This window comes from Homo sapiens, chromosome 14 (genome assembly GCF_000001405.40).
Source record: "Homo sapiens chromosome 14, GRCh38.p14 Primary Assembly".
Lineage (NCBI taxonomy): Eukaryota > Metazoa > Chordata > Mammalia > Primates > Hominidae > Homo > Homo sapiens.
In genome coordinates, this window is record NC_000014.9 from 70,803,861 (window position 1) to 70,816,276 (window position 12,416).

General features: G+C 44.5%; 1 protein-coding gene and 1 long non-coding RNA gene across 11 annotated transcripts in view, besides 2 other annotated features; one reads left to right on the forward strand and one right to left on the reverse strand.

Moving 5' to 3' along the window:
* The window catches only part of MAP3K9 (mitogen-activated protein kinase kinase kinase 9), an 86,988-nt gene extending 81,335 nt beyond the window's left edge, over positions 1 to 5,653 (reverse strand). For all 4 annotated transcript variants that reach the window (XM_005267683.6, NM_001284230.2, NM_033141.4 and 1 more), the window contains exon 1: positions 4,906 to 5,653. In XM_005267683.6, coding sequence (XP_005267740.1) covers positions 4,906 to 5,311 — 406 coding nt within the window. In that variant the 5' untranslated portion in view covers positions 5,312 to 5,653. The remainder of the gene's footprint in view (positions 1 to 4,905) is intronic.
* Positions 4,215 to 4,274: an enhancer, noted in NCBI's record as "active region_8666". NCBI's record gives its function as "activates an Ori minimal core promoter by ATAC-STARR-seq in GM12878 lymphoblastoid cells {active_cell/tissue: GM12878}" and the evidence as "EXISTENCE:reporter gene assay evidence [ECO:0000049][PMID:35858748]".
* Positions 4,924 to 12,188, forward strand: MAP3K9-DT (MAP3K9 divergent transcript). Of its 7 annotated transcripts, NR_184167.1 has the most exons (4): positions 6,040 to 6,079; positions 6,221 to 6,431; positions 10,367 to 10,499; positions 11,251 to 12,188. It is a non-coding gene; the product is annotated as an MAP3K9 divergent transcript (long non-coding RNA). The 7 variants fall into 7 exon arrangements; NR_184163.1 differs by lacking the exons at positions 6,040 to 6,079; positions 10,367 to 10,499 and adding an exon at positions 4,924 to 5,427; NR_184168.1 differs by lacking the exon at positions 10,367 to 10,499.
* Positions 5,215 to 5,854: a silencer, noted in NCBI's record as "silent region_5891". NCBI's record gives its function as "represses an Ori minimal core promoter by ATAC-STARR-seq in GM12878 lymphoblastoid cells {active_cell/tissue: GM12878}" and the evidence as "EXISTENCE:reporter gene assay evidence [ECO:0000049][PMID:35858748]".
* Positions 12,189 to 12,416: the final 228 nt, after the last annotated feature.

A 12,416-nucleotide genomic window follows, 5' to 3' on the forward strand; every position in this document is an offset into this window, starting at 1 on the left:
GAAGCTAAAAACTACATTTCCCAGACTCCTTTACAGCTAAAGTTCTGAATGCAGATTAAATTCTGCCAATTAGATGCACAATATTTGAAAGGCAGAAGTGAGATGAAGACCATGTTCTTGCTGCAGGGATTTTTTGCATCAGCATGTTGGTGTCCAATCACTAAGTCTGTAGATGTGGAGAGGAATGTTTCATAGCCAAGTGGTTGCCTAATCTCTGGGCTGCAGACACAACAGGGTGTTTTTGAAGCCAACAGCTTCAATGGCAGCTCCTGATTCTGTATGTTCCCAATTAGAGAAGTAGCAGCTGACCTGGTGGGCCAGTTCTGCTATGTTCTGGGAGTTGTTCACATAGGTCCAGCTGAGAGCCTCTTCTCTCAGCCCTTCCAACAATTCTGCAAGCACAGAATTTCCTGTGCTAAATCTCTTTCTTGCTCAAAATAGCTTGAGAGTTTCTGAGCCCCAGAATGAATCCAGACTTATTACTAACTTGTGCCTGATGTCATCTATATGAATGAGAAAAATATGCCTATGTTATAAAGAAAGATTAGAAACTCTCTTGGAGAAATACATGTTAAGAGTCTTCCTGGTCATGGAGGGAGGAACATTCATGTTTTTCTAGCAGCTTTTACACATATGAAAAGATGTGTGATTACTTAACAAATTTGTATCTGTTTTCTTATTTCCTCAACTGAGTATCTGAATTCTCCTTAAGGGAATTTTAACTATTGTACTTTCTCTTGTACCCTCCCTTCTTTCCTCCAGTCTTAAGCATAGTTGTAAACACACAGTAGGTGTTAAATATTCATTTAAATGCAGGAGGGATTGAAAAAATAAATGCAGGGAGGTTTAAAAGACATGATTCAGTACTAGGGTGCTGAAAGGACAGCTCCTCTAAAAACCTCTGCAGGGAAGGGAAAGCAATAACCTCTCTTTGAGTAGAACATAAAAATCTCAGGTTCTTGCTATTTAGTTAAGCAAATATTATGACCTGACTCCAAGAAAAGTATAGAACACAACTTTCAAGCAGATAAAAGACAGAACCCAGAAAGAAGGGAGGGAGGAAGGACCTTCTTTTTCCTTCCCTGCTCAGTCCCTGTGGATAGGAACGAAGGAACTAGACCTTCAGCTGCAGCAGAGTATGTGGGGCTCTCCTTCCCTTCCCTGCTCCAGTCAAGACCTGGTTTTAAGTAAGAATCAGGTCAAGCTGCATTCAGCACATTTTTCAGTTTCTGTGGAAGGATATTTCCAGGAATATCAGGAATAAATCCTTAGTTCTTCCATTTTTAAAGTCAAGATGTTATTCCCTCTCAATCGTATGCTTGGAAACTGAATGTTTAGGCATATTTTGGTGGGTTTTGAGTAAGTGAATGTTATATACTTCACTCAAAAATCTTAGGTACATCTGAAAATATGTCCTTCTATTTCTAGTGGATGTAGATAATAAAAAACATAAACTAATAACCTTAATGTATGCCCTGTTTGAAAACTGAAACAACTCTCTTGTTAGAGAAACTTTCATATAATACCTAGGATTGCATCTCCCAAGATAATGAGTTTGGAACTGTACATTTTTCATCTTTCACTAAAATAAAGACGATGGATGAGCTCCTGGGTTATTTATACTTGTCATCCATAGACAGCTAAACTCTAACAAGTACCTACAATGGAGAGGATTAAAGCATTATATGAATGTAAAATGATTTATAATATCATTTTTATATGTTTTCTTTGTCATAATATTTAGTAATTTCCCCTTCTGTTTTGAATAAAGTTTGAGGCCAGATACAGTGGCTTATGCCTATAATCCCAACACTCTGGAAGGCTGAGGTGGGAGGAATGATTGAAGCCAAGAGTTTGAAACCAGCCTGGGCAACAAAGCAAGACCTCACCTCTGTTAAAAAAGTAAATAAAAATAATTGGCTGGGCATGGTGGCATGCGCCTCTGGTCCCAGCTTCTTTGGGAGGCTGGGGTGGGAGGATCTCTTGAGCCCAGGAGTTCAAGGTTGCAATGAGCTATGATTATGCCACTGCACTTCAGCCTGGGCGACAGAGTGAAAACCTGTCTCTAAAAATTAAAAAAACAAAAAAAGCTTTTAAATAAAGTTTGAAGCTAAATTTTCACTTTAAGAAGCAATAATATGAAACTAAAGCTGAACAGTATTGCTTGACTTAATGTCTTCTATTCATGGTCCAGAATGCAACGTCACAACACATGCTCAGAGGAGAAGTTCAAAAGGGTAACTCTGGCGATGAAGTGTCAGTGGCTCAATTTCATTCCAAGTCTTCGGAGACAAGGTTTGTCAATCGTCTTCACTTTCCGAGTGACACAAACTGATCTGGTAGAGCACATAGACTTCAATGACCGCCCATGTTCACCCTCTGATGAACCAAGGCACTGCACTGAAGTTTTATATTTACATACTTAATCTCCCTCATGTAACTTATAAGCAACTTCTGATCTTATCACTTCTTTATGTCCTGGTACTTAACACAGTGTACAGTATCTATCACTCACTAGGTACTCAATAATTAGTTTTTGACTGAAACTAAATTTTCTGAATTATCAAAAATTAATTCTAGTCAAGATCAGAACTCCTAGTGAGGCCAAATAAAAGAACGTGTCAGGTCTTTCAAATGCCATATTCTTCAAGTTAATTCTTTCCATTAGAACAAGTTACTTCCTACTTTCTCAACATCTGGGTTCCAGATTTAGGAATCCACTCTATCCAAGATAACTTGTATGACAATGAAGATAAGTCCTGGCCACCAAATGAAAAAGTAGCACGCTGTTGCCATGCCTAGCTCTGTGGACAGTTTTTCAGCCTAAGTCATACTGACTCTTGACTGCTCTAGCAGCCAGAGCACAAGATATTGAAGAAACCGAGTTCCTGATCACGAACCTCACCTAGCTCTTCTGCTTTGACATTAGCTGTCCCTGAAAACAAAATCACAAAACTTCACCCACAGAATCAAAATCTGACTTATGTTTAAAATGACACTGTTTTCTAACATGCCAGGCTATTCATATTTCTTCCAATATATGACCAAGTTCATTTTCAACACTTTCAAAACACTATGCCAGGATGCTTAGCCTTAAGGCTACCAAACTAGTCCCAAAAAGATGTAGTATCTGGAAACAATTTAAAGTAATTTGCTACCTCCAGGCATTTTAAAGATCAAAATGAAGAAAAATGAAGTTTTAAACTGAATGAGAGGGAGAGGGGGAACCTAAAGATTTGAACATCGATTTGATAGTCAAAACACCAACAGAAAAAGAAGAGCAGAAAAACAAGCGAAGAGGCTATGATTTTGATATTATGTGCTAGTTTTTAAAAAACATCTAAAGATAGGCCAGACACGGTGGCTCACGCCTGTAATCCAACACTTTGGAAGGCCGAGGCGTGCGGATCACTTGAGGTCAGGAGTTCGAGACCAGTTTGGCCAATATGGTGAACCTCATCTCTACTAAAAATGCAAAAATTAGCCAGGCATGGTGGCGGGCGCCTGTAATCCCAGCTACTCAGGAGGCTGAGGCAGGAGAATTGCTTGAACCCGGGAGGCAGAGGTTGCAGTGAGCTGAGATTGCACCACTGAACTCCAACCTGGGAGACAACGAGACTGTCTCAAAAAAACAAAAAAACTCAAGATTAAAGTAACACAATTGCTGGGGTAAAAAATAACTTACAGAGCCAAAAACGTAACTGTTACAAAGGAAATCTTAATATTTAAATATTTAAAGTTGGTCCTTGCTAATGACGTTTTAAAAAATCAACTAAGATGAAAGTATACAAAATAAGGAATAAACAGTAATTAATACATATTAACAATACCTTTTTAACAGATAAGAGATTATGGAAACTCTCAAATACAAAATAGTGTAAACTGCACTAAAGAGATATTTACATGTTTTTTTCTGAAATAAACTAGTATGATTAAGGGATTGTGATGGCAATTTAACTCCCTTGAAAAAAAAAGAAGATTTCATTATAGGGTATGAAATATGGGGCTCCTGGAAAATTGACGGAAACCAGGACACTGGGAGAAAGGCCCTGGGAGGGACCCCTGAGCATGGTCCCCCTGAGATTTGACCAGTTCCAAAGATAGGCAAGGATCTAGAATGAGAAGAAAGAAGAAAATGTATTTCCCAAACAGCCTCACTGTCAAAGGACTGGGATTCAGCCACTGTACCTTGCAATCCTGATCTCCCATGGGGGAACGACATACTTTTTCCTCTCTAATCATCACTTGTCTCACCCCCACTCTCAACACACACATCCCTCTTAGCACATTAATCAGTGAGACTCCTAAAGGTACAACTTCTGAGATATAAGAAATAGGATCCAAGAAATCAACCCGACATTTTACAGGCAACTGAGCCTTGAGTTCACACATGCTTCCGGGACTTGTGAGCCAGCTCAGCCCTGCGGAGACACCCCCATCTCTTTGAAAGCAAATGCCTTTAGGAGGCGGGGACAGGCGTTAGAAGAGGTGGTGGCAAGGTCCCTGATTTGGGGACTAAGGCTAGGACACTAACCACCATCTTGCCATAAACACTTCCAGATTGGGAATGGGGGGCGGCGGGGGGGTGGGTAAGAGAAGGGACTGGGAAACTGGCAAATTCTCAGACTGGGACTTCAGGATGTGGAAATCGGGAGCCACTGCTGAGGTGGCCAACTGAAGGTGAAGAAGCCCAAGCGTCTGAAGTGCGGGCAGGGCCTGAGGCGTCTCGAGCTTATCCAGCAAGCAAAGCCCGGGCAGCCTAAGCGCGCGCCACCCACACCCAGGTCAATCGTCCTCCCCACCCCCCGCCCTCATCCCAGCCCTCGCGCAGTGCTCCCCCCTTCCCCGACCGCCCCCCAGGCCTCCGTCATTCCCCCTCCCCGCCCGGCCCCGCCTTCGCCTTACACTGAATGGGCGGGTAGCAACTGGGGTCCTCGCCGCCGGGCTGGCAGCGGCTGGAGAAGGCGCTGCGCGGGGTCACGTAGTTGCTGGGGAAGATGCCCACCCGCTGGTTCAGCTGCCCGGTCCACCAGCCCTCGTCGCCGGACACCTGCGAGTCCTTGGACAGCACCTCCACCACGTCGCCCAGCCGCAGGGTCAGCTCGTCCTCGCCCGCCGCCTCGTACTCGAACACGGCCGTCCAGTAGGGCAGCGGCGCGTCGCAGCCCAGCTCCCCGGGGCCCACCGCCGCCGCCGCCTCCTCCTCCTCCTCCTCCTCCTCCTCGGCCCCGGCCCCTGCTCCATCCTCCCCCGGCGGGGCGGCAGCGGCGGCGCTCGCTAGGCAGCCGAGAAGCGCTCTGGAGGGCTCCATGGAGCGGCCGATCCATAGGGTGCGGGGCCGCCGCCGCCCGCAGGAGCCGCCGCCGCCTATTGTTCATGCGCCTCCGCAGAGCTGGGAGGACCCCCCCCCAACGACGGCGGCCGCAGGTAGGGCCCGGGCTGGCAGGGCTGGGAGAGCCGGCTCGCCGGCGCTGTTACCGCGGTACGAGAAGAGCGCCGAGCGCGAGCTCTTCGCGCAGCCTAGGGGCGCAGCGGGCCGAGTCCCCGCCTGCCCGCTCGCCCCCCCGGGGGCGGCCTCGTCACCTCTGCCGCCGGTACCTGCTCGCGCAGCCGGTGCCCGCCGCTGCCAGCCGGCCGCCGCTCTCCTCTCCGCGCCGTGCCGTGCCCCGCCCCCCGCACCGCCAGCTCGCCGGGACCACCTGACGCGGGCCTGGCTCCGCCCCAGCCCTGCGGACCCCAGGGGGCTCCGCCCCACGCCCGCCCCGCCCCGCGCCCGCTGCCTTCCCATTGGCTGCGGCCGCCCAGTCCCCGGTTCCTCCGCCGTGGTTGGGGCAGCCTAGCTGGCCGTCTCGCAGGTCCCTCTCACCCCCTGCGCCGCCGTCGCACCGTGCCCTCCCCCATTGCGGGCTCTGTCATTCTCAAACCCAGGTCGACCCACTCTTCCCGCCCACTGGCCCGCCGCAGCTCCCTCCATTGGCTCGCGGCACCTGTCCGTTTCCTGGGAGAGTTCAGCACCTCCCGGCAGGAAGAGGCTCCGGCCTCATTGGGTGCGTGAGAAGGGAAGGGTGGATCCTAAAAGGTAATACTGAGCCTTCATTCAAACTAAAAGGCTGGAAGGGAGGCAGCTGCCTTTGTTTGCCATGGATGGGTAGGGGCTGCACTGAGCAGCACCGGTGTTCTTCATCCGGCTGCACCCCCAACAGAGCTCTTTCTTCCCCAGATCCCTTTTACAGTTGGATTCTCCCTCTTGGATCTGGCTCTGCCTTAGTCCGACCTAGAGGGATCAGCTTCGCCCACGCCCACTCTCACCCGGAACCTTTCATCTCTTATTGAAGCCTTTTAGGCCCATTGGGATGTTCATTAGAACTCTGAAAACTACAGTTCTCCCCTTTATGAGGACTGCACCACAGCTCGCCCTCTCCTGGGTTCCGGTAAGAAGAGATTCCAATACCACTCTTTTTTCAGAATTCAGAAAGGCAAGAGACCACCTTACTGAGCTTCAAACTGGGGCTGGGAACGCTGCCATGAATTGGGCTTGGTCTGTCTGAAGGGAGCCACCTTTTCGACAATCCTTAGACTTCTTTTGCCTGTTGGAATTACACCTTGGATCGTGGCGAAGTCTATAGAGGTCAGATTAAGAAGAACCAAAGCAGAATAAACGTAGAACCCGATGCTGAGTTCACGAGTGAGGACGACCTCTTCCTATATGCTTTGCTATACCCTGCGTTTTGAACATTAAGGACGAGATAGGAGGCCCATAATGTTTCTTCTTGCTTTAATCCTGTCGTGGCAACGTTGACTTCCAGTAAGAAAGGTTCTCTGATCTTTTTTTCTCTTTTCTTTTCTTTTCTTTTCTTTTCCTTTCTTTTCTTTTCTTTTCTTCCAGGGTCTCAGTTTGTTGTCCAGGCCAGAGTGCAGTGGCGCAATCTCGGCTCACTGCAGCCTCAACATCCTAGGCTCAAGCCATCCTCCCACCTCACCCTCCCGAGTAGCTGGAAGTACAGGCTCGTCTTGAACTCTGGGCTGAAGTCATCCACCTGCCTCGGCCTCCCAAAGTGCTAGGATTACAGGCCTTAGCCACCTCACCTAGTCCTCTGAAATTTCTAAATAAGCCAGTGCTGAAGGATCTAGCCCAACTTCTACCAAACTTTGTTACCTTTTCCCCTTCAGTGGTAGGAATAGACATGATTTATTTAGCAAGGGTGAGTGCTTTTGTTGAATTTTAGTTTGGGGTTTATTATTACACAAACTAAAGACAGCGGGGCAATTTGGAAAGATAACTAGGCAGCTGCATGACTTCAGGCAGGTGTCCTAACACTGTACTCTTAAAGTGAGGGGAGTGAACTGGAAGATATCCTGTGTCCTCATAGTTTGAACATTCTGTGGTTCGCTCATCAATATGACTACACTGTATAGTCATAGCACACATTTGAGGTCTTGAAGAAGAGAGATGAGGCTTGTTCTAAAAAGCATCCAGAGTAGGTCTTGAAAAAGGATTTCTGTTTAAGTAAAGACCTAAAACAATGCTCAGATTCCTATTATACATAGGATCCATGAACTGGAAAAGATATGGATGAGTCTGAGTAAATTATCTAGGTTTTGTTTTAGACAAAACCATTCCACTGTCAAGCAGCAGAGAGCAAGGGAGTGGGGATGGAGGTATATTGTGTTTTTTTAAAGGCCATAAGAAAATAATTGTCTTGATAAAATTTTAACTTAGGACTGGGTATGGTGGCTCGTGCCTGAAATCTCAGCAGTTTGGGAGGCTGAGGCAGGAGGATCACTTGAGCCCAGGAAGGAGACCAGCCTGAGCAACATGGCGAGACCCCTATCTCTACAAAAAATGTTAAAATTTGCCAGGCATGGTGGTGCAAGCCTGTAGTCCCAGCTGTTTGAGAGGCTGAGGCAGGAAGATTGCTTGAACCTAGGAGGTCAAGGCTGTAGTGAACAGTGTTTGCTATACCACATTCCAATCTGGTGACAAAGCAAGACCCTGTCTCAAAAAAAAGAATTTTTTTTAACTTGAGGGAAAAAAAGTTTTACAAACTGTAGACACACAGCAAAACAGAAACAGGAAAAAAAGTACTAAAAAGAGAAAAATGTCAGTAGTGGGTCTCTAAGTAGTCGGATTATGAGTAATTGGGTAAGTTTATTGTCATTTTGCTTCTCCATAATTTCGTATGTTCTACTATTTAGTTTTGTGGATTCCTTCCCACTCCCTGGGAAGAGGGGAAGAGAGGAGAAAAATCATTGATTCTTCTCAATAGGAAAACTAATTCCCTGTGCAACTTAAACCTTTAATACCATAGCATGTGTTTAGAATCTCATAAAGAATCATTCATCAAACATTTCAACAAGTCATTCAGTTAATATTTGTTGAATGGGTAAGTGCTAGGAATTCAAATGAGGGTAGATCTTTCAGACTAAACTTGTCTGGCAGGGTTGCATGGAAGAAGCAGAACCAGAACTGGTCCTGGAGGGGAATGGGGTGGAGCAGGGAAGAGTGTGTTCAGGAAAGGAGGGTGGGAATAGGCACAGCCACAGACGTAGGAAAGCATGGAGAGGGGACCATTTGGATGGAATAGAAGGATGAGAAAGAACTGAAAAGATAGGTTGAGACCAGACTGTAGAGGGCCCTGTAATCACTTGATTCACACTAGTAATTATGTAATTGATTATTTGTAATTATTTAATGTCTGGTGCATCCACCATAAGGGTAGGAACCAGTCTGTCTGGTTCTCCACAGCTCTCCCAGCACCTAGAGAGTGCTTAGCACATAATTGACTCTCAGTACTTCTTTGCAACTGGATGGCTGACTTGAATCCCAGGCGAAGAAGCCTTGGTTTTGTTCAGCATGTAAAAGATTATCACTGAAAGGTTTTGAGTAGGGCTGTGGGGTGATCAAATACTGCCTTCCCTGAGGACTAGAATGGATGAGGAGATGCTTAAGTTGGGCATTGAAAGATATGTACAACCTGATTAATAGAGAATAAAAGATGTGGAAATAGAAATTAATGTAGTGGGTAGCAATAATAGAAATTTCATCCAGAGAAGAGGAGAGAATGCAAAAAGGGAGTGATGGGAAATAAAACTGATGAAATAAAAGAAGGGCAGATTGTAAAAGACTTTGAAAGTCAGGTGGAATTACCAAGATTTTACCACTATGAAGTTTTTGAGGAGGGGATTGGCAGATGTCACCCCAAAAAAGAAACATTTTCTCTACCACGCTGAAAAGCATAGCATAAGGGAGAAAATAGCAATCAAGATGCAAGTTGGCATTAGACTTAAGTCAACAGATCATGGTTTATCCTGGCTTTGTCCTTTAAAAATGCTGTGACTTTGGGCAAGACACCAGTTTGAACCTCAGTTTCCTCAATTTTAAGTAGGTGTAATAATAATACCTGGTTTTAATGGATGTTTACAGGATTAAATGAGACAGGACATGCAGAAGCTCTTAGCTTGCTGCTCACACCCAGCAAATAGTCAACATATTTTTTTCCTTCTTTCACCTGCCCATTACCCCCAAGAAACACTCTTTAATTACACCTAGGCCTCTTGACTGAAAGTTGAACCCAGGGTTTTCCCTAAAGGAAAGAGAGAGAAGGAAGGAAGGAAAAAGGAACAGAGGCCTCTGGGAGGCCGAGATGGGTGGACCACTTGAGCTGAGGAGTTCAAGACCAGCCTGGGCAACATGGTGAAACCCCATCTCTACAAAATAGAAAAATTAGCCAGGCATGGTGGTGCCTGTGGTCCTAGCTTTTGGGAGGCTGAGATGGGAGGATCGCTTGAGCAGAGATGTTGAGGCTGTAGTGAGCTGAGATTGCTCCACTGCACTCTAGCCTGGGTAACAAAACGAGACCCTCTCTCTCAAAAAAAAAAAAAGGAACAGAAAGGAGAGGAGAGGAAGGGGTGAAGGAAGGAGGGAGGGCAGGAGGAGAGGGAAAGAAAGAAAGGACGAAAAAGAGAAAAACAGGAAGGAAGCAGGGAGGGGAGAAAAGGAAGGAAAGAAAGGAGGGAAGGGAAGAAAGAGGGCAGGCATCATAGACTATTGAAGAATTTGGGGTCTTGGCTTCTGACTGAGTTTGAATCTATGCTTACTGTGTGCCATTAGGCAAGTTAACCCTGCTGTGCCCCAGATCCCTCACCTGGAAATTAGGGATAATTGTACCTATCTTATATATGTTATGTGCTTAACACATAATCTAGCATGTAGTTACTGGTATTATTTGAGCCTAAACCGTGACTTAGTTAATGAATGTCACCCTTTCCTTGATTCTTTTGGGAAATATTTAAAATTAGTACTTTGATGTAAAAAAAAAAAATCCCTCAAGCAGACTTTTACCTTTTTTTTTTTTTTTTTTTAAAGAAACAAGGTCTCACTGTGTCACCCAGGCTGGAGAGCAGTGGCACGATCATAGCTCACTGATCACATGGCAGCCTCAAACTCCTGGACTCAGTGGGTCCTCCTGCCTCAGCATCCTGAGTAGCTGGGACTACAGGTGCGTGCCACCACACCTGGCAAATTTTGTTAATTTTTGGTAGAGATAAGGACTCACTGTGTTGCCCAGGCTGGCTTCAAACTCTTGGCCTCAAGTGATCCTCCTGCCTCCATCTCTTCAAATGCTGGGATTACAGGTTTGAGCCACCGTGCCTGGCCCCTTTGACCTTTTCTAAAAGAGCCAGCCCACCACTTTCACCTCTCATGTGTACCATTTCAGGAAAGAAGCCCTAGTTCCTGTTTCATAAACTCCATTTGCATTAAATATGATTTTAGGCAAATGGTTTGGGCAGATATGTGGCAGGGCTGATGGAACAGACCTGTGGAGTCAGACCCAGACAAGTCTTGATCAACTTGTCATGACTGTGGGAGGCCTTTCACCTCTCTGAGCCTCTGTTTCATTGTTGGTAACATGAGATTGTATAAAATGGGGTTGCTGTGAAGGTTAGATGAAGTAAGAGGTCCTCCTGGCAGTGCCTAATACATAATAATAAGTGCTTAATAAATTGTAAATGTTATTACAGTTGATAGTATTTAATTCCTCTATGAGGAATTATGAGTTAATGTAGCTTGAACCACCAAAAAGGTAAGAAATCTTTCCTCTTTTAGGAAAACCTCAGTTCAGAAAAGCAATAAACTATGGGGGGGGTGGCTGTTTAGAATGTTGCATCTCTGGAGAGCAAGTTGCATTTTAACAATGATCAGAGCCTTTAATTAAGGAGTGAAGGTCAAATCATTTCTGCTTCATCCAGCCTGGTTGCAGAGTGAGCCCATGGGACAGCCCTCTGAAATTATACTGCTTACAACCATGCTGAGTCTGCAAGGACTTCGTCCAAGCCTTTCCGTCCAGGACCTCAAACAGATCCAATCACAAGAAGAGAGATTTCAGGAAAGAGAAAATTATTCCTATCATCGGGGTTTTTGAAGAACATGAAATGACTGGGAAAATAATCATGTTAAGTGGAAAAAAAAAAGAAATCTATCTGTTGTAATTTTCAAATAATTTTTAAATAAATTTGAAAAATTAAGAGAACTATATATATAATACATTCCTAATCTTGTGAAAAATATATATGCATTAATATTATTGAAAGAAATATATCAAAAGGTGAACAGCAATTATCACCAATCTAGATTATGAGATTAGGAGTGATTTTTTTTCTTTGTCCTATACTATTTAATATTTTCTACCATTAAAATATTCTGATTTTCTAATTAGAATAGTACGTTAGACAAAGAAGGACAAATATCACATGAACTCTCACTCTCTTATGGAACAGATCTTGTGGAATCTAAAAAAGTTGAACTCATAGAAAAAGAGGAAAATGATGGTTACCAGTTAGAAAAAAGGAATAAGTTCAAGAGATCTATTGTACACCATGGTCAATATAGTTAACAATATATTTTATACTTTAAAATTGCTAAGGTAGTAGATTTTAAGTGTTCTCACCACACAAAAAAATAAGTATGTGAAAAGCATATGGTAATTAGCTTGATTTAACCACGCCACAGTGCATACATATGTCAAAACATCATGTTGTATACTATAAATATATACACTTTTTGTCAATTTTAAACAGGTTATAAAAAAACATGTTATTGTTGATAATTATGAAAAATTTTAATGATGTGGAAATGTGTACAGTATAATGATAAATGAAAGAGTAGTAAAAATCCTTATAAAATATAATTACAAATGTGTTGGGTGGATAATATAAAAATCTTAACAGCTATTTCTGAGCTAAGTGGTGGAGCATGGGTAATTTTTAGTGCCTTCTGTGTCAGGCTGTTCTTGCATTGCTATGAAGAAATACCTGGCCAGGCGCGGTGGCTCACGCCTATAATCCCGGCACTTTGGGAGGCCAAGGCGGGTGGATCACCTGAGGTCAGGAGTTCGAGACCAGCCTGGCCAACATGG